The following is a 21,067-nucleotide window of genomic DNA, read 5'->3' as shown; positions in this document are numbered from 1 at the left end:
AGGATATCCAACGCTTTTCATACTTAACGAAAGTTACATTAGTTTTCCTTCCTTACATGAGAGTAATGAACTTCTGTAGTTTATTAAAAAGCCTACTAGTTGAATGTCACCACTACTCCCAGAAGTGAGTTGCATTTAACCAATGTAGAACTATGGAGACCAGAAGACCAAACGTTTAGACCGAACTAATATGTAGCAAATAGAAAAGAAAGTCAAAAAACACAGTAACTTCTCAGTATAAATACGATCATACATAAAGGCAACTGGTCTAAGTTCATGGGTGTAATGTGCACAGAGGCAGCTTCAAAAGAATCAACCCAATATGCTAGAAATAGAAATGCAAAGTTGGATAAGGGAAGCCGAGAAATACACGACCTGCTCACAGGCAGGTTCAGCTGCCAAGACTAAAAAAAGTTAATAAACATCACCCCCTCCCCCCTCTTCTCTGAAAGGCTGGGCCCGCAGGGACTCTACTAGATGGCAAAGAGCCTGGAAGGGCTTTCTAAAGTAAACACGTAGGGCCGGGCTATGTTCTGGATAAGCCACAGCAACGAGGCTGCAACGCTGAGCGCTATATCAAAAGGTAGCTTCCAACACACTCAAAGGTCCCGGACAAGCTTTCCTCCAAGCCAGAGGCGCTGCCTCCATCACTCACCGCATTTCCCCATCCAGCGCCTGGATAACAGCTGCGAAACTGCGACTGGTCTGATTGAGATACTTGTAGCAAGTTTTCAGGCTGCTGCTGAGCGAGTCCTGCGGGCAGACAACACACACGGCGGTGGGAGACGTCGAGGAGCAGGAGTGGGAGTGGGAGTGGGAGTGGGAGTGGGAGTGGGACTGGGGCAGGCGGCTCCACAGCCTGCCGCCCTCTCCCCGAGGCCAGTCCTTGCAGGGCCAGGCGGCAGGAGGCAAGCAGCAGCCCCGCGGGGCGGTGCCTGCGCCCGGGCCCCTGGGCGCCGCGGCGGGACTCAGCACCAAGGTGCGCTTGAAGAGGGCCATGGCCTTGGTGCCGCAGGCGGCTGCGGCCATGGGAATCGCGGACCCCGCGGAGTTTTTCCTCCATAGACTCAAGCAGATCTGGGAAGCGCCCGACGAGGGGCGGGACGGGCTCGCCCTCTACTCGAATACGCGCTGGGCCGACCCACAACGGGCCCGCCCCGCAGCCCCGCAGCCCCGCCCCCGGCCTCCCGCTCCGCACCGGCGCCTCCTCCCGCTGTTGCCCTTCTCACCAGAACCCACTGGCCGCTAAGGGAACCCAGCGCACTTCCGAGCGGCTCGCTCGTCCTCCCAGTGACAGAGTCTCCCTAGACCAAACTCTACTCGGGCTCCGCTGAAATCCTCTTCCCAATAAGGCCTGGACTTTGTACTCAACGCATCTGTCTTTGCATCGCCCAGTTTTACCAAGAATCCTGCTAAATTGATTTGACCAGAATCCCCCAACTTCAGTATCTGATCACCCTAGACAGCCGATTAGGTTCCACATCCCCCTCCATCCCTCAGGTGATGTCTGATAACTCTGGCCTGCCTTCAGCAAGAATGCACACCCCTGTGTTTCCTCGTAATAATTTTCCATCCACTGACATCCGGCTCCCCCGCCATCAATTCCTACTTTTCTTTGTATTCGCAGTGGAGCAGTTCTGTACCGAGGTCTCTCTCCTCTTACTGCAGTAGTTTTTCTGAATAAAATCTGTTTTGCCGTTTTACTACCACTGTCCAACCCTGGTTTTTCTATGACACCTATTAAGCCTCTACTATTCTCTAGAAAGCCAGCCATTCCTTTCAAGATGTCTTCTCATCTTTCCCTTCGAAATTAATGCAATGCAGCGCACTGACCTTTACTCTTCCCTAAAGCAAACAAGGACTGTGTTTTTCCAAAAGGGAGAAAAAGCCTGATTTTAAATGCAAGCATATCAGAAAGAGTTGCTGTTTGTACTATGTATTTTTTCATGGACTATTTTTTAGAGCAGTTTTAGGCCCACAGGGAGTGGAAAATACGGCGGGTTCCTATTTGTCCCTTCCCTCCCCTCACCCCACAGTCTTACAACAGTTCTTTTTGGGAGAGACTGGAATCATTTATCCAACAGGGCCGGGTGCAGTGGCGCACGCCTATAATCCCTGCACTTCGGAAGGCCAAGGTGGGAGAATCACTTGAGCCCAGGAATTTGAGGGCAGCCTGGGCAACATAGTGAGACCTCGTGTTCATAAAAAAGTTTTTAAAAAATTTTTTAAAAAGCCAGGTGTGGTGGCGCCCACCTATAGTCTAGCTACTGAAGACTAGCTACTCAGGAGGCTGAGGTGGGAGGATCGCTTGAGCCCAGGAGATACACGTTACAGTGAACTATGATATTGTACACTGCAGAGTGGGACCCCATCTCAAAAAAATAAAAAACAAATATCCAATAGGAGTGGTTAAAAAAATATGGCATATCCACTTCTAGGAAATTCCATAGTCACTTCAGAATGGTAACAGTGAACCCTGGGCTCTGGTGGGAGGTTTAAGTGAACTATGTTGTTTTTATTTGTATATATTTCCTATCATGAATACGTATTTTGCCAAAAGGGTCAATCTTTTAAATCACATAATCCTGAAAAAGTCATTTTATTGCCATAAAAAATATTAGTAAAAACAAGTATTTACTGGGCACCATAATATTAGTAAACTTCAGCGTCTGGCACATAAATATATTCAGAAGTGGTGTCATGAATAAATGAAGACATTCATCGAGGATTTTAAAACAATTCACCAACTCCTTCCTTCTCAAAATATCGAGAGGCAGGATTTCAGAGTGAAAGAAACAGAATACCCGCTCTGGACTGAGCTCCAGAGCAGCTCTTCACATAGCCTGACCATTACCAGGCTACAGCAGGAAGTGTTTTTAACTGCACTGCCAAATGTCATGTTCAGTCCAACTAACAGTTTCGGGGTGATGTTAAGCCAGGAGTTTCAATCAATGCCAAGACACGGTCCCCCTAGATTTAAACCCCAACACTCTTCAAGAACACTACCCCTCCTTTCCATACAGCCCTCCATTCTGAAAGAGAGCAAGCCAAGCCACTTACTCCTCCAGCTCGTACCCCTGCTGCTCTTTTTCCTGTCACCTATTTGTTTCAGTCCCTTACCTTGTAAACAGGTTTCTTCAAATCACCAAGAACAAAACAGGAAGACACAACTAGTAAGCATACTATGGAAAACAACACTCACTAAAAATTTCTACTGCTTGATTCCCATGAGCCAGGGGAGAAAGCAAGCTCAGGCTACTGGTGCCTGTCCCTCTTGGGTTTATCTATTGCAGTCTGAGATTCAGCACACTCCCAAAAGCTCGCAAGCGGGAGAAAAACAGGGATGGAGGGAATTTAGAGGAAGGGTGTGGGGGTGGTCAGGAAGACGACAAGACCAGACTCCCAGGAAGGGGCTCCAGCCTCAGGCTGAAAGTTCCACAAGTGAACAGCTACCAGCTACCAGCCCTCCACGGAGCCTTCCTCACTTTAAAATAGAATAGATTTCTCCAGGAGGGGAAAAAAACCACAAACTTGAGAACTGAATTTACATAAATTTACATAATCAGATTGATAACCACCATTTATCAAGCACTTAACTCCATGCCAAGCACAATGCGGACATCACCTGTGATCCTTACTCAATCAACCCTTTAAGGTCTCACAGGCCCATAGTCCACTGAAACATCTGTGGCAAGACCTGGGGCAGAATTTAGCATTTTTAGTGTTTTAGAAAATAGGCAATAAAATGCATATACAACCCTAGTCAGTGTGAAGTAGCACCTCATAATTATTTCTTTAGCAAAACATTTGAATATACTAAGTGGGATGAATGAAGCCTCAACTTCAAGTCAGGTTTTGCTGCCAAGTGATTCTGAGCCAAACACTCAAAAAATTCTTTTCAGACCATCTTAGAGTTGGGAAGTTGTGGTTAAAAAATCGTTACCATACATACATCCCTATTTTACAGATGAAGTAACTGTGGTTCAGAGGTTAAGTTACCAAGGTTGTTCACCTAACTTAATAGCGTCAGAAATCGGACTTAATAACAGACTTAAGATATTAGTCTAAATAACAGGATTTAGATTGGACAGGAGCCAGATCTGCCTGATTACTAACAGCCTGCTCTTTCCATTACTCTCGGCTTTTGGGTGATGCCACACAACTTGCAGGCGGCATATGCCCGTAGATTTACTGATATGCACCTAAAAATTCAGTGTAAATCAAGTTTACTAAACCCTGAAATTCTATAGCCAAATGCTTCTGTGATAGAAATAATCAGCCCTCAGTATCTGCTAAGCGTAAATTTTTTCCCTAGTTTGCAGAGAGAAACTGGTTGGGTGCAGTGGCTCACACCTGTAATCCCAGCACTTTGAAGGCTGAGGTGGGAAAATCGCTTGAGCTCAGGAGTTCAAGACCAGCCTGGGCAATGCAGCGAGACATTGTGTCTACAAAAAAATTTAAAAATTAGCCATGCATTGGTGACACGTGCCTGGAGTCCCAGCTACTCGGGATCAGGAAGCCGAGGTGGGAGGATGGCTTCAGCCAAGGAAGTCAAAACTGGAGTGAGTCATGTTCAGGCCACAGCATTCTAGCCTGGACGATGGAGTGAGACCCCCCCCTCAAAAAAAAAAAAAAAAAGGCCGGGTGCAGTGGCTCACGCCTGTAATCCTAGCACTTTGGGAGACCAAGGCGAGCAGATCACTTGAGGTCAAGAGTTCAAAACCAGCCTCACCAACATGGTGAAACCCCGTCTCTACTAAAAATACCAAAAAATCAGCCGGGCGTAGTGGCAGGTGCCTGTAATCCCAGCTACTCAGCAGGCTGAGGCAGGAGAATTGCTTGAACCCAGGAGGCGGAGGCTGCATCTAGCTGAGGTCCCGCCACCACTGCACTCCAGCCTGGGTAACAGAGCAAGACTCCATCTCAAAAAAAAAAAAAAAAAAAAAGAGAAACTAAGATAATGTTAAGTGAAGGGAAATGTATTTTTCCAATTTATTTCCCCTAATTAAAGGTTCAGGTATTTTTTTAACGGCTCATGGGGATGTAAAAACTGCCCAGAAAGACTACAACTAACATAACAAATACTGCACCATATTATCAGAGCTAGAATAGCTCAAGTCTCGCTTTTAAAAAAACTCAAAATGTACAAAAACAGTATACTGTGAAGTCTTTCTCTACCCACTTACCATGACCACCCACTTTCCCTCCCAACAGGAAACCAATGCTACCATTTTCTCTAACAGTCTTTCTGTAGAAAGGAAAGAGACATAGAGGAATGAAGTCTGGACCCAAATGAGGTCTGACTGCACTCAGATCCCTTGCCCTGCTAGTATCTTCCTCTGCAGTGCTTTTCTCCACGTGAAAAACTGTACATTCGCTTTCTTAAATTGTCTCTCTTCCACTAAAAAGTAAGTTTTATAAAATCAAGGTCTTCACCTAGCTTGTTCACTGTTGTACCTCCAGCACCTAGAACACTATCTGATATACAACTGGTCGTCAAATATTTGTTAAATAAATGAATGCTATATCTAAATATAAAAAGTGACATCTGCCATATCAAATAATAGAAGTTATTCTGTAGCAAAATAATTCAAATAATGTAGCACCGGCAAAGAAAAGATGAAGAAAACTGAATGTTCTACAAATAGACTGAAGGATGTACCTGTATTAAAGATAGCACGTGAAAAATAACACCAAATGAGGGTGTAGTCTACTGGGGACAAAAACCAGAAATTTATTTTCTAGTGTGTTTACTGAAGCACATGGACACTGAAAGAAAGACTCCGATGTTCAGGCACCTATCAAGCCTCGGCCTGAGTCACATTTGCTACTGTCCTGTTGGCCCAAAAAAGTTACAGAAATCAGCCAGGCTGGTCCAGACCAGAAGAACTTGGCTGAATTTGTCTATTCATTCAATAATCGCGTACGAATAATTTTCTTGTTGGAATAAAAACACCTCCTATGCATTCATTAAACAAATAGTACAGGCATGAGGCAGATAAAAATCTAAGTAAAACCAAGTTCTGACCTTCCACCAACCACCTAGCTAATCCATAGACGTTAGATAACTCATTGGAACTTGGAAGCGTAGATAGGCGATTTTAAAACTCAGGAAGCACCGAGGATGAAGCGATGGAAGGCAGCAAGGCGGGGAGAGCTCCGGAAGAGGTGGTGAAACTGGAGGAGTCAGACTTCATTCCAGAAACGGCCTTCATGTGATGTTATCTGCATAGTTCATTCCGCTTACCAAAAAACTCACTCGTCCTCTCCCGCGTAACCCACCCACATTGCCTCAGATGTGTAACCCTCGGGTTAAAATACCGGTAAGCGCCGATGCTCACGGAGGGGACGAAACGGGGAGCGCAACCACCGGGAACCACGCAAAAGTCGCTCATGCCCAGGGCGGCTTGCGGGGGCAGGGACAGGTCAGCCAGGACGGCCGCGTCCACCCGGGCCCTACAGGGGGAAGGCTCGAGGAAAGGGGGACGGGAACACCCAGGCGTCGGCCCTGCTCGCCGCGCCCCTTGCCCCAGATCCGGGCCCGGCCGCTCAGGCCCTGAGGCCGGCCCAGCGAGCTCCTTCCCCGCCCCGGGCAAGCAGGGAGGCTCGGCCCACCTGGTCCATCTTGGGCATCACCTTCCGCTTGCCCCCGATCCGGAAGCGCACCAGGTTGTAGAACTCTTCGGGGTGGCCAAGGCATTTCACGAACTCCATCCTGGCGCAGGCGGCGGACTCCCGGGCGCGACTCTCACCTCTGCGGTCCCCAGGCGCTCACCGGCCGGCTGGACCTGTGGAGTAGGTGCTTCGAGGGGCTGGCCGGACAGGGGGCAGGCCTAGTACGGCGACGCCCCGCCCGCCGCTCCGCCCACTTCAACCGGCCTCGGCCGCCAGCGGGGCTAGCTGCGGCCTCGTGGGGTGGGCTGACGGGCGCTGATTGGCCAGGGCCGCTCACACTAGGAAGACCCCGGCCAATCAGTCGCGGAAGGAGACTGGCGTGATAACACTCTAGAAGCTCATTGGAGGCCGAGAAAGAGGCCGACGAGCGGGATTGGTGCCCTGATGGAGCCGGGCCTTTGTTTTCTTCCGCTTACCCCGGCTGGGAGCGCGAACGCTGTGGGGACTGGAGGTGAGGCGGTGGGGCTTAGGATGCGCAGGAGCCCAACGGTGGTCCGCAGTCGGGAGAGCAGTGCGGGGCTGCTTCCTCCCCACTTGGTCAATAAGTCGCCCACGTGTCCGGCCTCGGTGGCTCCTGCCAGCCGGGTGAGCTCTGCAGCCGCTCTCTGTAGAGCCTAAAACCGTGAAAAGGCCGGGCCAGCGCCAAGCTGGGCGTCTTTACTGTAACACACCCGAGCACAGCCCAGCTCGCCTGCCCGCCACCGCCATCCAGCCCCAGGGAGCCCCACACACTCCTGGAGCTTCAGCTGCCCCCTCTCTAGTGTTTACTTGAGATCCAGCTTAGTCCTAGAAAAAGGAGCTGAAGCCTTAGAGAGCCTGTAACAGGAATGTGGAAACTTCTCTCATCCTAGATCTCTCCAGCCCTAGAAACTACTGGCTACCCGTCCAGGCGTGGTGGCTCACGCCTGTAATCGCAACACTTTGGGAGGCCAAGGCGGGTGGATCACGAGGTCAAGAGATCGAGACCATCCTGGCCAACATGGTGAAACCCGTCTCTACTAAAAATACAAAAAAGCCGAGTGTGGTGGTGGGCGCCTGTAGTCCCAACTACTCCGGAGGCTGAGGCAGGAGAATCACTTGAACCCGGGAAGCGGAGTTTGCAGTGAGCCAAGATGACACCGCTGCACTCCAGCCAGGCCAACAGAGCAAGACTACGTCTCCAAAAAAAAAAAAAAACCTACTGGCTACCTAAGCCATCCTGCAGTCTGTTTTAACACAGCAACCAGTAATCCTTTTAAAACCTGTCAGGTCTAGCCGAGCGCGGTGGCTCATGCCTGTAATCCCAGCACTTTGGGAGGCCAAGGCGGGCGGATCACCTGAGGTCTGGAGTTCAAGACCAGCCTGGCCAACATGCTGAAACTGCGTCTCTACTAAAAATACAAAAATTAGCCAGGCATGGTGGCAGGCGCCTATAATCCCAGCTACCTGGGAGGCTGAGGCAGGAGAATCGCTTGAACACAGGAGGCAGAGGTTGCAGTGAGCTGAGATCGCGCTATTGCACTCCAGCCTGGGGGACAAGAGCGAGACTTCATCTCAAAAACAAACAGGAAACCTGTCAGGTACGTTCACTGCCCAAAGCTGTTCAGTGTCTCTCCAACAAAAGCCAAAGCACCTATAGGGATCCTGAGAGGCTGCAGCCTTCCACCCAGATTACCTCTCTGGCCTCCATCTCTTATGCTTTTGCTTTCTCTGGCCCTAGGACTTTTTGTCTAGCTGTTCACTATTCCTGCACTATCCCCCAGATACTGGCTTGACTAACTCCTGTGCCCCTCGAGTCTGCTCACACCTCATCTAGACCCACCTGTTTGCCCTCTCTCACATTTCCACCACTGCTAATCCCAGTGGGGGTCTACTTGCCTATATTTACCATATTCTAATACATCATTTACTTATGTATTAGATTACAGAGTGTTTCCCCTACTACTGTAAACTAAAAATCCTAAGTCCCTACCACTGGACAGCCCTCCCACTCCCCACCTCGGCCAAGGGAACCCCAGAAAAATCTTAAAAACTTAGTTTCCAGCCATGACGGTATAAAAAGTAAAGTAGAGGTTCCTCTTCAAAGACTTTCCTCCCCATTTAATTAGGAATAAATAGTAACTTCTCTTAGAAGCAAACTTTATTCAAAGACCTGTGCTAACATTCTTAAATATCTGCTAGCTATGATAAAGAAATCAATGTACTTCATGTTCTTAGCTCTCACAATTTAGCCTAAATATTTGCCCTGGCATGCTTATAGTGGTCCAAGAAAGCATTAGGTCATAGCCTGTTCCTCTTCCTTATTTGAAGGTGTTTCAACCTTTGTCACCATTCCACAAGTTACTTCCTCCTTCCTTTGTTCTCCTCTACCTTTGCCTCTTTTAAAAACTTCTAAGTTGCTAGCCAATCGGGACAAATACAGAACGTGAGGCACCGTTCCAGCCAATGGAAACTAGACACAAGCAGTGGGGTGGACGAGTCAGGTTATAAATGACCCTGTCTCCTTTGTTTGGTATACTCCCATGGCAAAACTGCTGGCGAGTGTACCCTTTCTGCAGGAAGTAAAAATGGCCTGCTTAGTAAATTAATGTTCAAGCGCCTTTTTTTTTTTTTTTTTTTTTTTTTTTTTTTTGAGACAGAATTTCACTCTTGTTGCCAGGCTGGAGTGCAGTGGCACAGTCTCGGTTCACTGCCACCTCTGCCTTCTGGGTTCAAGTGCTTCTCCTGCCTCAGCCTCCCGAGTAGCTGGGATTACAGGCGCCCAACCACCACGCCTGGGTAATTTTTCGATTTTTAGTAGAGACAGGGTTTCACCATGTTGGCCAGACTGGTCTTGAACTCCTGACCTCATGATCCACCCTCCTCGGCCTCCCAAAGTGCTAGGATTACAGGCAAGCCACTGCGCCCAGCCTTCGAGTGCTATTTCTTCTTCATTTTTTTTTTTTTTTTAAATGGAGTCTCACTCTGTCGTGAGGCTGGAGTGCAGTGGCGCGATCTTGGTTCACTGCAACCTCTGGCTCCCAGGTTCAAGTGAGTCTCCTGCCTTAGCCTCCCGAGTAGCTGGAACTACAGGCATGTACCACCACGGCCAGCTAATTTTTTTATTTTTAGTTGAGACAGGGTTTCACCATGTTGGTTAGGATGGTCTCAATCTCTTGACCTCGTGATCCGCCCGCCTCAGCCTCCCCAGGTACTGGGATTACAGGCGTGAGCCACGGCTCCCAGCCTACAAGTGCTATTTCTTTCCAGCACCAGGGAAAAAGCATTTCAAATAACGGGACAGGAGATCAGATAGCCCTCATTGTACCCCCTTCCTTTTGGAGTTCATACACAACTGGCTGGCATTAACATTAAAACAGAGATCATAAGACTAACGGAACAGACTCTGTGGCAATAAGATACCCAATTATAAACAGGACCTAAGGCCATGCAGGCAATGGTGAAGTCAGGCACCCCTACACTTGAAGAATCAACTAAGCTCTAACTGCCACAGGGCTCTTCTTTTTCTCCAGCAGCTAAACGCTGGCCTTGAGATAAGCAATAGTAAAACACCTGCAGCTCCACCAGACAGTGACTAATTGAACCCCTGTTCCACCAGCCATAACTACAGCTTTGACTGGTCAAGAGATTGATCTCAGTAACTTTCTCCTGATAAGACCGCCGACCGTGGACTGGTCTGGCCAGTTTACAGAAACTGTACACTCAAGGCGCCTTCCTGTCCTAAAAAGACCTTTTGACCTATAGGGTGTAATTGTAATGCATTCACATGTTGAGTCTCTATCCCAAAGTGAATATGGGTCATATATTACATACATGTTTGTTCAATGTGTCAGGTCCGCCATCATAAATATTCGTAGCTCCTCTTGTAATCTGTTAAATATGTACGTTTAGCCAACCCAGTCAGCATAAAGCTCCTACCTCAAACGCCTTTTCCTTCAAAGTGCCCGTCTGTGGTCTAAGCTGGAAGCATGCTGTAACCCTTTAGAAGAAATAAAGGCTCTTCTCCCTTTCTAAATTGATAAATCATATTTTTTAAGTCAACACTAGAAATCTAAGCTCAGTGACGACACACCTTTGTTTTGCTCACTAATGTCCCCTCAACCATCTGGAATAGTGCCCAGCACATACTGGCTCAATGAATATTTATTGGGTGCTCAATGAGTATTTATTGAATTGAGCTGCGTATAGGACACGATGGTGCCTAAACAATGCAAAGTTAGTTAACGTGCCCATTCTTTAAATCTCTCTTCCATTAAATCTGCTTCTCCTGTGGATAGCGTTAACAGCCTCTCAGTTTTGTAATCACAAAATCCAGGTGTCATTGATAACGCCCTTTCTCTCCTTATATCCACCCCTTCAAAATCATTCATCAAGTCCTGTGGAGTCCAAGAAAACAAATACCTTTCATTTTAATCTCTCCTCTCTGCTCCATCTTGGTTTAAGCCACATCTTCTTTCCCAAACCATGTTGAAGTTGACTTCCCCTGTCCTTTCCCATATGGCAGGTAGAGTTATTCGTCTAAAACACACACTGGGCTGGGTGCAGTGGCTCACACCTGTAATCCCAGCACTTGGGAAGACCAATGCAGGCGGATCACTTGAGGTCAGGACTTTGAGACCAGCCTGGCTAACATGGTGAAACCCCGTCTCTACTAAAAATACCAAAATTAGCTGAGCGTGGTTGTGGGTGCCTGTAATCCCAGTTACTCGGGAGGCTGAGGCTGGAGAATCGCTTGAACCCACGAGCCGAGATCACCACACCACACTGCAGCCTGGGCAACAAAGTGAGACTCCGTCTCAAAAAAATAAAAAATAAAAACACACACTTGATTATAATCCTTCCATTTTAAATTCCTCCAATGAAATGTCTTCGAATCAATGGATTGATTTAAAGGAAATCAAGCCTTCTGGCATAGAATAAAAACGTCCTTGCCATTTGGCATCTACATCCTTTGTTGGGATTTCAGCCTCCTGTCCACCCATTCTTGTACTACTTTCACACCCTGATCCAGTCCTAGCAGCACTTATTGTCCCCCGAACAGGCTACAGTACTTCACATCCGGCCTTGGCCCAAGCAATTCACCTGCCTGGAATAGGCTTCCTGCTCCTTGCCTAGCCACCTGCCACGCCTCCATTACAGCTCAGGTGGAATCTGCTTCAGGAATCCTTTTCTGGTGTTTCCTGGCCTCTCCTTTATCTGTTCCCCTCCCCCACCGTTTTTTTTGTTTGTTTCTTTTTTTTTTTTTTTTTTTTTTGAGTGTGTGTGAGAGACAGACAGGGTCTTATGTTGTCCAGGCTGGCTCAAACTCCTAGGATTAAGGATCTTCCCATCTCAGCTTCCCTAGTAGCTGTGATTATCTGTTCTTTAAATGCAACAAACATTGGCTGAACATCTACAATGTGGCAGGAGACATGGGAAAAAACAAAGATGAGTAAGATAAGGTTCCACACCCAAGGAGCTTACAATGCAGAGGAAGAAACAGACATGTTATGTGATGGTGCTATTTGTTAGAGAGCCCCTAATCCAGCTCCCTCAGTCTGACTTAGGTGTCCACTTGGAAGCTGAACATACGAATGGATAACAGCCAGACACTATATAACAGAACCATGGCTTAAACAACCGCTGCTGCAGGCAGTCCAAGGAACTCAAAATGAGATAGAAGGCGAGATTCGACTCCAGAGGTGGGGTTCAGACAGCCGACCAAATTGAGGACTAGCTAAAACAGGGAGGGGCCGAAGCAGCCGTCCTTAAGACACGCCCACCAGTTTGCCATGTCAGTTTACCATTGCCATCGCAACACCCAGGATTTACCACCCCTTTCCATGGCAATGACCCAACAACCCAGAAGTTACTACCCTTTTCCTACAGATGTCTTCAGAAACTGTCCTTTAATCTGCGTGCAATTAAAAGTAGATATAGATCTGACTGCACAACTGCCCTGAGCTGCTTTCAGCACACTGCCTGCGGAGCAGCCCTACTCTGCAGGAAAAGTCACGGAGCTGTCACACTGCCTCTTTAATGAAGTTGTTTTCTTCCACCTTACCACTGGCTCACCCTTGAATTCTTTCCTGGGTAAAGCCAGGAACCCTCATGGGCTAAGGCCCAATTTGGGGCTTGCCTGTCCTGCAAGAAAACCACAACCTCAGCAGCAATCAGCCCCAAATGGTCAGGACTCTTGCAACTCAGAATCAACCACAGAAAAACAAATAGGCTCCTCAAACCAATCACTGAAGACACCTACCTCTATCAGCTGCTTCCAACTTCCCCAGGCCAGAAGCCTCCAATCAGAGCACTGCTGCAGCCTTCCCCTTTTCCACCGTAAAGCTTCCCACTCCCCTGCCTGCCTCGGAGTGTCCACTAAGTACAAAACTCCCTTACTACAGCAAGCTCCGAATCAAGAACCTTATTTGTTTGTGTTCATTGGGCTGATCTTTACTTTCACAGACCTCAGTACTTCTACCATGTTCAGTGGTTCCTCCCAACCTGAACTTTCTGTATTCTAATAATCTCTTGTCTGTTTCGCCACCTCACAGTGGCCCCCTCAAGCACAAGGGCTGGGCCTACACAGTATCTGGCGGAGTGTTTACAGCGTAATCAGATCAGTCCTAGAAAGCTCAGAACACAAACAGTCCAGTCACTTAACCCCCATCCTCACACAGCACTTTTTCCATTAACAGAAACACTTTACATACTCCCATTACAGTAGGATTTGGCTTTGTATTTTGTTTAGCCTTGTATTGCCAAATCCTAGCATTTAGGAGGCATTTAAGAAATATTTATGAAATGTCTAAAGCCACTGTGAAAATCTATGTTAAATCCCCCGTTTTTCACAATGTCAGTTATCACAAAACCCCAACTCATGAACTAAACCAATCTTTCACCTTAGAGTCTGTCGAGTCCAAGTGTGTCCGGAATTGGTTGGTTCTTGGTCTCACTGACTTCAGGAATGAAACCGCCCACCCTCGCGGTGAGTGTTACAGTTCTTAAAGGCGGCGTGTCCGGAGTCTGTTCCTTCTGATGTTCAGATGTGTTCGGAGTTTCTTCCTTCTGGTGGGTTCGTGGTCTCGCTGGCTCAGGAGTGAAGCTGCAGACCGTCACAGCGAGTATTACAGCTCTTAAGTCGGCGCGTCTGGAGTTGTTTGTTTCTCCCAGTGGGTTCGTTGTCTTACTGGCTTCAGGAGTGAAGCTGCAAACCTACCCTGTGAGTGTTACAGCTCATAAAGGCAGTGCAGACCGAAACAGACAAGTATTAAAATTTATTGCAAACAACAAAGCTTCCCAAGCGTTGTAAAGCAAACCCAGCGTGTTGCCACCGTTTTTTTTAAGGCAGCCCGCTTTTATGCTCTTATCTGGCCCCACCCACACCCTGCTGATTGGTCCATTTTACAGAAAGCCGATTGGTCTGTTTTACAGAGAGCTGATTTGTCCGTTTTGACAGGGTGCTGATTGGTGCGGTTACAATCCCTGAGCTAGACATAAAAGGTCTCCACCTCCCCACTAGATTAGCTAGATACAGAGTGTCCATTGGTGTATTTACAAACTCTGAGCTAGACACAGGGTGCTGATTGGTGTGTTTACAAACCTTGAGCTAGATACAGAGTGCTGATTGGTGTATTTACAATCCCTTAGCTAGACATAAATATTCTCCAAGTCCCCACCAGACTCAGGAGCCCAGCTGGCTTCACCCAGTGGATCCCGCGCAGGGCCGCAGGTGGAGCTGCCTGCCACTCCCGTGCCATCCGCCCGCACTCCTCAGCTCTTGGGCGGTCGACGGGACTGGGCGCCGTGGAACAGGGGGTGGCGCTCGTCGGGGAGGCTTGGGCCGCGCAGGAGCCCACGGCGGCGGCGCGGGGGAGGCTCAGGCATGGCGGGCTGCAGGTCCCGAGCCCTGCCCCGCGGGGAGGCAGCTAAGGCCTGTTGAGAAATCAAGCACGGCGGCTGCTGGCCCAGGTGCTAAGCCCCTCACTGCCCTGGCCGGCGGGGCCGGCCGCCCGCTCCAAGTGCGGCCCGCCGAGCCCACGCCCACCCGGAACTTGCGCTGGCCCGCAAGCGCCGCGCGCAGCCCTGGTTCCCGCCAGTGCCTCTCACTCCACACCTCCCCGCAAGCCGAGGGAGCCGGCTCCGGACTAGGCCAGCCCAGAGAAGGGCTCCCACGGTGCAGCGGTGGGCTGAAGGGCTCCTCAAGCGCGGCCAGAATGGGCGCCGAGGCCGAGGAGGCACCGAGAGCGAGCAAGGGCTGCAGGGCTGCCAGCATGCTGCCGCCTCTCACACGTATCCCGCCTCTCCTTACTAAGATGGAAGCCTAGATTCACCCCCGACCCCCCATATTTCCGTGCCCTCCTTCACAGTCCTGTCAAGCGAAAACCTCTCCTCCTTCCAGGCAACAGGCACAGGCACAAAAGGCATAACCGCCACTGGTCACACTCCACCCTGCTGTCTCTGTACCATCTCCTCTCTTTCAGTCCACTTACAACATATCGTGCCTACCTCCTTTTATGTATTTATTTAAAATTTTTATTTTTTTATTTTTGAGACAAGGTCTTACTCTGTCACCCAGACTGGAGTACAGTGACATCATCTCGGCTCACTGCAGCCTTGACCTCCTGGGCTCAAGTGATCCTTCCACCTCAACCTCCCTAGTAGCTGGGACTACAGGTATGCATCACCATGCCTGGCTAATTTTTGTATTTTTTGTAGAGATGGGGTCTCGCTATGTTGCCCAGGCTGGTCTCGAACTCCCGGGGTCAAGCAATCCTCCTGCCTCAGCCTCCCAAAGTGCTGGGATTACAGGCGTGAGCCACTGCACCAGGCCCTACCTCCTTTTGGAACCAACCTGAAACCCACTGAGGACCTACTGCCAGGGTGAATTAGATCTCACTCACTGGGAGAGAAGCATGGGAGTGTGGGTTGTTACCTGCCCACATTCCCCCTTCCCCACCTCTTCCATGAGGAACATGTTCCATGGAGTTCCAACGGCACCAACCACAACACTTAGTCTCAACTGTTAGGTACTAGTATTTTCCCAATTATTAGTTTTTTCCGTAAGTCACTGCAGTCAGAGACACTATGAGCAAAGCTGCTCCAGAGATCCTCCTAAGGCAGGGATGAAGGTCATTCTTTCATGTTTCACTCTATAAACTTTGTATTGTGTGACTCTTTTGACGTCTGTAATTTTAAAAAAATAATGTTTCTCCTTGTCCCTTAGGTCTCCCACCATCCTTACCCTGACAAACGTCCATGTCCATTGTGGGGTAATCCAACATCCAATGTCTCCATTTTTTATCCTAAGCCACTGGATGCTGTCAGGGAAAGTCAGGAAATGCACAGGTGTCCTGGGCTTGCCATGTGGCTCTACAGCCCTTCCCTCTAACCCGAAGTGATCACGTTTCCCTTACAGCCGTTACAAACCTGCCCACTCTTCTGTACCCCAAAGGCCTCACTTTTAGCAAATTTTCTAGGGACTTGTTATTCTTTCTCTTCCCACCCTAGTCCAGTCATCTTTAAGCGACAGCTCTGGTGTGAGCTTTCTCTCTCTCTCTCCTGGTTTTCTCCCCTGAACTAACTATACATACATTTTCACGTTATATTCATCCTTTGCTCTCCTCCCTAGCCTTCATTTTTTTTTTTCACATTTCTTACTTTTATTTCAACATTTAAAATATTCATAGATGGAGTATTATATTCAGACATCTCCAAGGAAGATGTATGAAAACAAAACATACAGGCATTTCACAATTACAGAATTGCATATTTGTGATTATGTGAATGTTTACCCTAGAGTTGATCTGGAAAAACACCATTTAAAAAAAAAACTTTTGCGTGATTCACTGGATTAATTTCCATAAAAAATGAACTGCAAATAATTTCAGGATACCTAAATATTAGTACTTTTTAAAATTTTCAAACTTTTATGGTATTCTACTAACATATCTCCTACAAGGAACACTTAATACTTAATTCTTTCTTTTTACCCTCAATAGCCAAGTCAGAATATACTTATTTCATTTTTCACCCAAGTCTTTGTTTCTAAACACATTATGTAGAATAGATTTGGTCGTCACAGCATCTTGAGTAGCTAATGAGGTAGGAGTATTCTTAAGTTCTTAGACATTAATAAAGCAAAGCAAAAGACAAGCAAATTACGAAGTTTTTCTTTTTTAGTGGTTGTTCTTTAAGTAAAATGCTAAGAGCACTGGAAATTGGTCAAAAGCTGCTCACATTTTAAAAACAAAGAGGAAAAACCCATTAGAAAGCCCTGATACACATAGAGTCTGTTAAAGGGAAAAACCTGAGTACTGGAATTAAATTCATTTTGACATTATAAGGTAAGGGATCTATGCCTAAAAATGCCAAGCTTTCTGCCTTGGAAAAAAAGTCTTACCAAGGAGATAAAATTTAAACAGAAAACAAAATTAATCTATACTTTCTTTTCAGAACAAGTTAATTTGCTTCTTTTAACCCACTTCTCTTTTCCTATACACAAAAAAGATCAATAATTTCAGTATACTGCATATCCAGTAACACATTTCAATGAAGTTAGCAGTCAACTTACCAACTGTGCCAGAGAAACACTCCTTATATGGAGGCTTCATTAACATAATGCTAAAGAGCTAGAAAACATGTAGGCAATAGATTTCAGCACCATCTGTTAATAGCGTTTCAAAATGCGTACACCCCCTAAATTCATATAAACCTAGGAAATTTACCCATCATTCTCTCCGTATCTACACCAAAAATCAAAGTTCTGTATTCTAACCATCCTGTGTGCCAAAAATAAGAAATACTTAAAAATCTATCCAATTAAGTTAATAGGACACAAACATGTTCCCCAAAAAAGGAGGGAAGTTACCAATCAAGCATGACGTGTCTAAAATACAAATTTTGGGAGTTTCTCTGAACCTACTCTGGTTCAAAGGGCTGCCAAAAAAAAAAAAACCACATATTTTTAATACATTGGTACCTATTATTTGATGAAGGCTAAATGACAAGAAGAGATTTATTTTACTAATATGCACCTCTTAAGGTTACTGCTAAATAGACTTTAAAAAGTCATCTAAAAAATGTTTTAAAAATACAACAGAATAGCTGCTAGAAAGAAAATTGATAACTATGTGGCCTGGCAAATGATTTTCAAATTAAGTCCTTGACAATCAACTACAAAATGTTTTAGATGTACGAATCAAACTTGGTAGCAAAATAGTGCAAAACTCTGATATGGCAGCCCTTAATAGCAGGTAATCATTTGAGATTTGCTACCAAAAATAAATTGTCAACAAGAATCTTTTATATGTCTTTAAACCTTTCCTTTTTCTACTCTACCCAGAATTGTGTTCCACTGCAGTTATAAAAATCTCAAAATATCATATGTATATCATTTAGATAGAAGATAATTATTTCCTCTTCACTGCCGCCTCCTTTAATTTCAGTTATAGTTCCCTTTATAAACATTCTTTTCCTAAGGCACACCATGCCCTATTTATTGCCACAAAGCCACTAAAATCTGTGCCTCAGTCTGTCTGCTTCATGGCTGTGGTTAAATACAAACCACTTGCTAGTGTCTGCTAAAACTTAGTAACATCAAGACTAGAATGTCATTGTCTGATCTACTGGGGCAAAGGCCGAAATACACAAGCATGTGCTCATACGCTCTTTTCCCTACAAACTAACCATATTACCTACCGACAGTAAGCCTTATTGACATCTCTGGCTACATATAATTCATACTCAATATTATAAAATAAACTGTTAGGCCAGTAAGCTTTCACAATTTTTATTAAATCCTAGTCTAGTTTAACAATATCTGACGTTACAGACATCATCCCATGGTGAACATGTTTAATAAGTGAAAGCAAGTCAGACATCTCATCTAGGTCATTATTTTCTGCAGACTAAGCAATAACTACACAGAACACTATGGGTAATGACAAACACCTGCTCGGTTTTCACACAAGCCATTTGTTTATCAAACTAGATCTGCTAATACTGAAGACAGTCGATTTGGTGATTGTAGTTCTCATACAATTATAAATATCTTATTGAGGTAACATTTTGACAGTTTCACTGACTTTCCAAATAAACATTTGATTGGAAGAAAACAGATCAAATATGGATTTCACAAACCAAAAGTTTATAAACTCAATGCAATACAAATCCTTTTTATTGTAAAAGCTGAGTTGAGACTAAAAGATTTATAAAAACTATTACTTTTGGCCTTAAACAGTACCAACTCTTATGATCAAAAAAGGCCACAACATTTAAGACTGTATTGCTCGATTTTATTTTACACTAGGTGGTGGGCACAAAGCAATCCTCCTTAATAAAGGTGACAATTGCTTCACTCAACATTTTTAATAATGCACATTAAAAAAAAGTTCATCTTACAAATTCTTCTGCAATCCAAACATACAATTGCTTGGAGAACAACATTTAGAAAACAAAAGCCAATGTAAAAAGACAGATTAAAACAACTAGAAAAGTACAGGTTTTGTTTGTATGACTCGGATTTTACAGTTTTCTTACTGCATCATCAATGACAGAAATCTGTTCCTTCAGCTGGCTCCATTGTTCTGGATTTAAAGCAATACCTTTTCTTCCTGGTTTCATTTCGCCTTCAGGATCCATCCAATATTCTCTAGTATCAATTAGCACTTTCCCTTTAAAATCTCCAACGCTAACGTACCTCATTTTCCCAATCTGAAACTTGTTATCATCTCTGCTGCTGCCGCTCTGTTTAGAAGATGACAGAGCTCTCGAAGTTTCACCTGTCTTTTGCTTCTTTACAGGTTTTTCTGGAGCAACTTGCTTTTTCCTCTTTAACTTTTTGTCAACCTCACTGTCAGGATCACTGCCAGAAGAGCTTGAAGAAACAAGTTCCTTTGATTTAGGCATCGCTTAGCTCAGCTCTAGCAGTCGAACACCCTCCTGCTTGTTCGCTCGCGACTCCTCCCTGCCCTTCATTTTCATCCCCTCCAAGGCCAAACTTCCTGCAGGGGAGACCACCCTCACATTCCACGTCCTCCCTCCCACCCGGTCCCTTCCCACTGCTGGCACTCTGCACACAGTGCTCTCCTGAAGGTCATCATGACCTCGAATTTGATCACCTGCCAAGCCCAAGGGGCCACTGCTCCATCGTCCCGCCTTCATCTCTGCATGATTCACCATAGCGACAGCCCGCTTCTCCTTGGACGTTCCTTTCTCCACTTACATTTGACCCATCTCACTGACTGGTTTCTCCTTCCTGTCTTGCTCCTTAAACACAAGACTTTCTCTAGGATTCCCTGCACCTTTCCTCGTGCTCCATGACACCCTGTGAGCCTCTGTAGCTCATCATGACTCCTACTAGGAAAGCTGCCCCATCGGTGCCTCTAAGACCAGCCTGTCCCTGTGGCAGGGGGAGGCCAGGCCTGCTTCCCAATTACATTGTCTCCATCTCCACAGCACAGGTGGTCACAGGCTCGAGCTCAGCACGCCTCAGGGGGTGATACACAGTGCCCGCTCACCCACTCTGCCTTTCCCCATCTGCCAGGCGGTGGCCTCTGCCACTGCTCAGCTCAGTGCCGGCTGAGCCGCTCCAGTGTTCCCTCCTTGCCCCGGTGCCCACACTGTTGGCCAGCTGACACCAACAGAGCCCAGTGCCGCCGTGGCCCGCGCCTCTCACCCTCTCCACTCCTACAGCTACAGCCGCCCCATTGCTTCTTTGTCAACAACTTCCTTTTCGGCGCCACAACCGCCTTTTCCTTTCTACCAATCCCAGTTGGAGCAGACCACACGCAGGCCATGGTATTCAGTCCCCACTATGTCTGGGGAGCCCCTGGACCCACTGTCCTATAGACACCCACTCATAGGAAATGGTCTCAGCCTCATTTGCAGCAGCTCATGCCTGGAGTCCTAGTCTTGTCCTAACCATATGGGTTAGAAAGGTGCATTTCAGTACACACACACACACACTTTTTTTTTGAGATAGAGTCTCACTCTGTGGCCCAGGCTGGACTGCAGTGGCGTGATCTGGGCTCACTGCAACCTCTTCCTCCCCAGTTAAAGCTATTATCTTGCCTCAGCCTCCCAAGTAACCGGGATTACAGGCGCCCACCACCACGCCAGGTTGAATTTTGTATTTTTAGTAGAGACAGGGTTTCACCACGTTGGCCAGGCTGGTCTCAAACTCCTGACCTCAGGTTATCCACCTGCCTTGCCTCCCAAAGTGCTGGGATTACAGGCATAAGCCACCACGCCTGGCCCACATTCTTTGATGTTACATATTTTATATATGTGCATATATACACACAAGTGCATGAGTATGCTCTTCTACCCTTCTAAATACAAATAAATCCATTATTCAATATTTTCCCATCGTCTATTCTGGAATTGAGGTTTTATTCATTTTTTCTTAAATCCAGGCCTTCATGAAGGGAAA

General features: G+C 46.6%; 1 protein-coding gene, 1 long non-coding RNA gene and 1 pseudogene across 12 annotated transcripts in view, besides 11 other annotated features; 1 reads left to right on the top strand and 2 right to left on the bottom strand.

Moving 5' to 3' along the window:
* The window catches only part of FDFT1 (farnesyl-diphosphate farnesyltransferase 1), a 43,717-nt gene extending 29,752 nt beyond the window's left edge, over window positions 1-13,965 (bottom strand). Inside the window, exons 1-4 of one of the 11 annotated variants that reach the window (NM_001287742.2) lie at window positions 13,536-13,965; window positions 7,092-7,289; window positions 6,616-6,788; window positions 656-753 (exon numbers count right to left, since the gene is read on the bottom strand). In NM_001287742.2, coding sequence (NP_001274671.1) covers window positions 656-753; window positions 6,616-6,714 — 197 coding nt within the window. In that variant the 5' untranslated portion in view covers window positions 6,715-6,788; window positions 7,092-7,289; window positions 13,536-13,965. Of the gene's footprint in view, window positions 1-56; window positions 407-655; window positions 1,080-1,229; window positions 1,605-6,028; window positions 6,470-6,615; window positions 6,807-7,091; window positions 7,290-13,535 lie in introns of those variants that run through there. The other 10 variants (NM_001287743.2, NM_001287745.2, NM_001287744.2 and 7 more) reach the window with 10 other exon arrangements.
* Window positions 840-999: a silencer, noted in NCBI's record as "silent region_18943". NCBI's record gives its function as "represses an Ori minimal core promoter by ATAC-STARR-seq in GM12878 lymphoblastoid cells {active_cell/tissue: GM12878}" and the evidence as "EXISTENCE:reporter gene assay evidence [ECO:0000049][PMID:35858748]".
* Window positions 1,030-1,229: a silencer, noted in NCBI's record as "silent region_18942". NCBI's record gives its function as "represses an Ori minimal core promoter by ATAC-STARR-seq in GM12878 lymphoblastoid cells {active_cell/tissue: GM12878}" and the evidence as "EXISTENCE:reporter gene assay evidence [ECO:0000049][PMID:35858748]".
* Window positions 1,300-1,579: an enhancer, noted in NCBI's record as "active region_27033". NCBI's record gives its function as "activates an Ori minimal core promoter by ATAC-STARR-seq in GM12878 lymphoblastoid cells {active_cell/tissue: GM12878}" and the evidence as "EXISTENCE:reporter gene assay evidence [ECO:0000049][PMID:35858748]".
* Window positions 6,428-6,547: a silencer, noted in NCBI's record as "silent region_18941". NCBI's record gives its function as "represses an Ori minimal core promoter by ATAC-STARR-seq in GM12878 lymphoblastoid cells {active_cell/tissue: GM12878}" and the evidence as "EXISTENCE:reporter gene assay evidence [ECO:0000049][PMID:35858748]".
* Window positions 6,758-7,007: a silencer, noted in NCBI's record as "silent region_18940". NCBI's record gives its function as "represses an Ori minimal core promoter by ATAC-STARR-seq in GM12878 lymphoblastoid cells {active_cell/tissue: GM12878}" and the evidence as "EXISTENCE:reporter gene assay evidence [ECO:0000049][PMID:35858748]".
* Window positions 7,078-7,237: an enhancer, noted in NCBI's record as "active region_27032". NCBI's record gives its function as "activates an Ori minimal core promoter by ATAC-STARR-seq in GM12878 lymphoblastoid cells {active_cell/tissue: GM12878}" and the evidence as "EXISTENCE:reporter gene assay evidence [ECO:0000049][PMID:35858748]".
* Window positions 7,275-8,016: an enhancer, noted in NCBI's record as "H3K27ac-H3K4me1 hESC enhancer chr8:11659040-11659781 (GRCh37/hg19 assembly coordinates)". NCBI's record gives its function as "activates a minimal SCP1, AML or CMV promoter by ChIP-STARR-seq in primed H9 embryonic stem cells {active_cell/tissue: H9 hESC(primed)}" and the evidence as "EXISTENCE:reporter gene assay evidence [ECO:0000049][PMID:30033119]".
* Window positions 8,017-8,759: an enhancer, noted in NCBI's record as "H3K27ac-H3K4me1 hESC enhancer chr8:11658297-11659039 (GRCh37/hg19 assembly coordinates)". NCBI's record gives its function as "activates a minimal SCP1, AML or CMV promoter by ChIP-STARR-seq in primed H9 embryonic stem cells {active_cell/tissue: H9 hESC(primed)}" and the evidence as "EXISTENCE:reporter gene assay evidence [ECO:0000049][PMID:30033119]".
* The window catches only part of LOC105379243 (uncharacterized), a 14,138-nt gene continuing 1,262 nt past the window's right edge, over window positions 8,192-21,067 (top strand). Inside the window, exon 1 of the long non-coding RNA XR_948962.4 lies at window positions 8,192-8,234. This is a non-coding gene — a long non-coding RNA (uncharacterized LOC105379243). The remainder of the gene's footprint in view (window positions 8,235-21,067) is intronic.
* Window positions 8,889-9,532: an enhancer, noted in NCBI's record as "H3K27ac-H3K4me1 hESC enhancer chr8:11657524-11658167 (GRCh37/hg19 assembly coordinates)". NCBI's record gives its function as "activates a minimal SCP1, AML or CMV promoter by ChIP-STARR-seq in naive H9 embryonic stem cells {active_cell/tissue: H9 hESC(naive)}" and the evidence as "EXISTENCE:reporter gene assay evidence [ECO:0000049][PMID:30033119]".
* Window positions 9,185-9,244: a silencer, noted in NCBI's record as "silent region_18939". NCBI's record gives its function as "represses an Ori minimal core promoter by ATAC-STARR-seq in GM12878 lymphoblastoid cells {active_cell/tissue: GM12878}" and the evidence as "EXISTENCE:reporter gene assay evidence [ECO:0000049][PMID:35858748]".
* Window positions 14,013-14,307: an enhancer, noted in NCBI's record as "tiled region #11637; HepG2 Activating DNase matched - State 18:Pol2, and K562 Activating DNase unmatched - State 8:EnhW". NCBI's record gives its function as "activates a minimal TATA promoter and a strong SV40 promoter by Sharpr-MPRA in HepG2 cells, with weaker activation in K562 cells {active_cell/tissue: HepG2 | K562}" and the evidence as "EXISTENCE:reporter gene assay evidence [ECO:0000049][PMID:27701403]".
* Window positions 18,262-19,595, bottom strand: SUB1P1 (SUB1 pseudogene 1; annotated as a pseudogene).

Source organism: Homo sapiens, chromosome 8, assembly GCF_000001405.40.
Source record: "Homo sapiens chromosome 8, GRCh38.p14 Primary Assembly".
Classification (NCBI taxonomy): Eukaryota; Metazoa; Chordata; class Mammalia; order Primates; family Hominidae; genus Homo; species Homo sapiens.
This window is presented reverse-complemented; position numbering and strand designations above follow the sequence as displayed.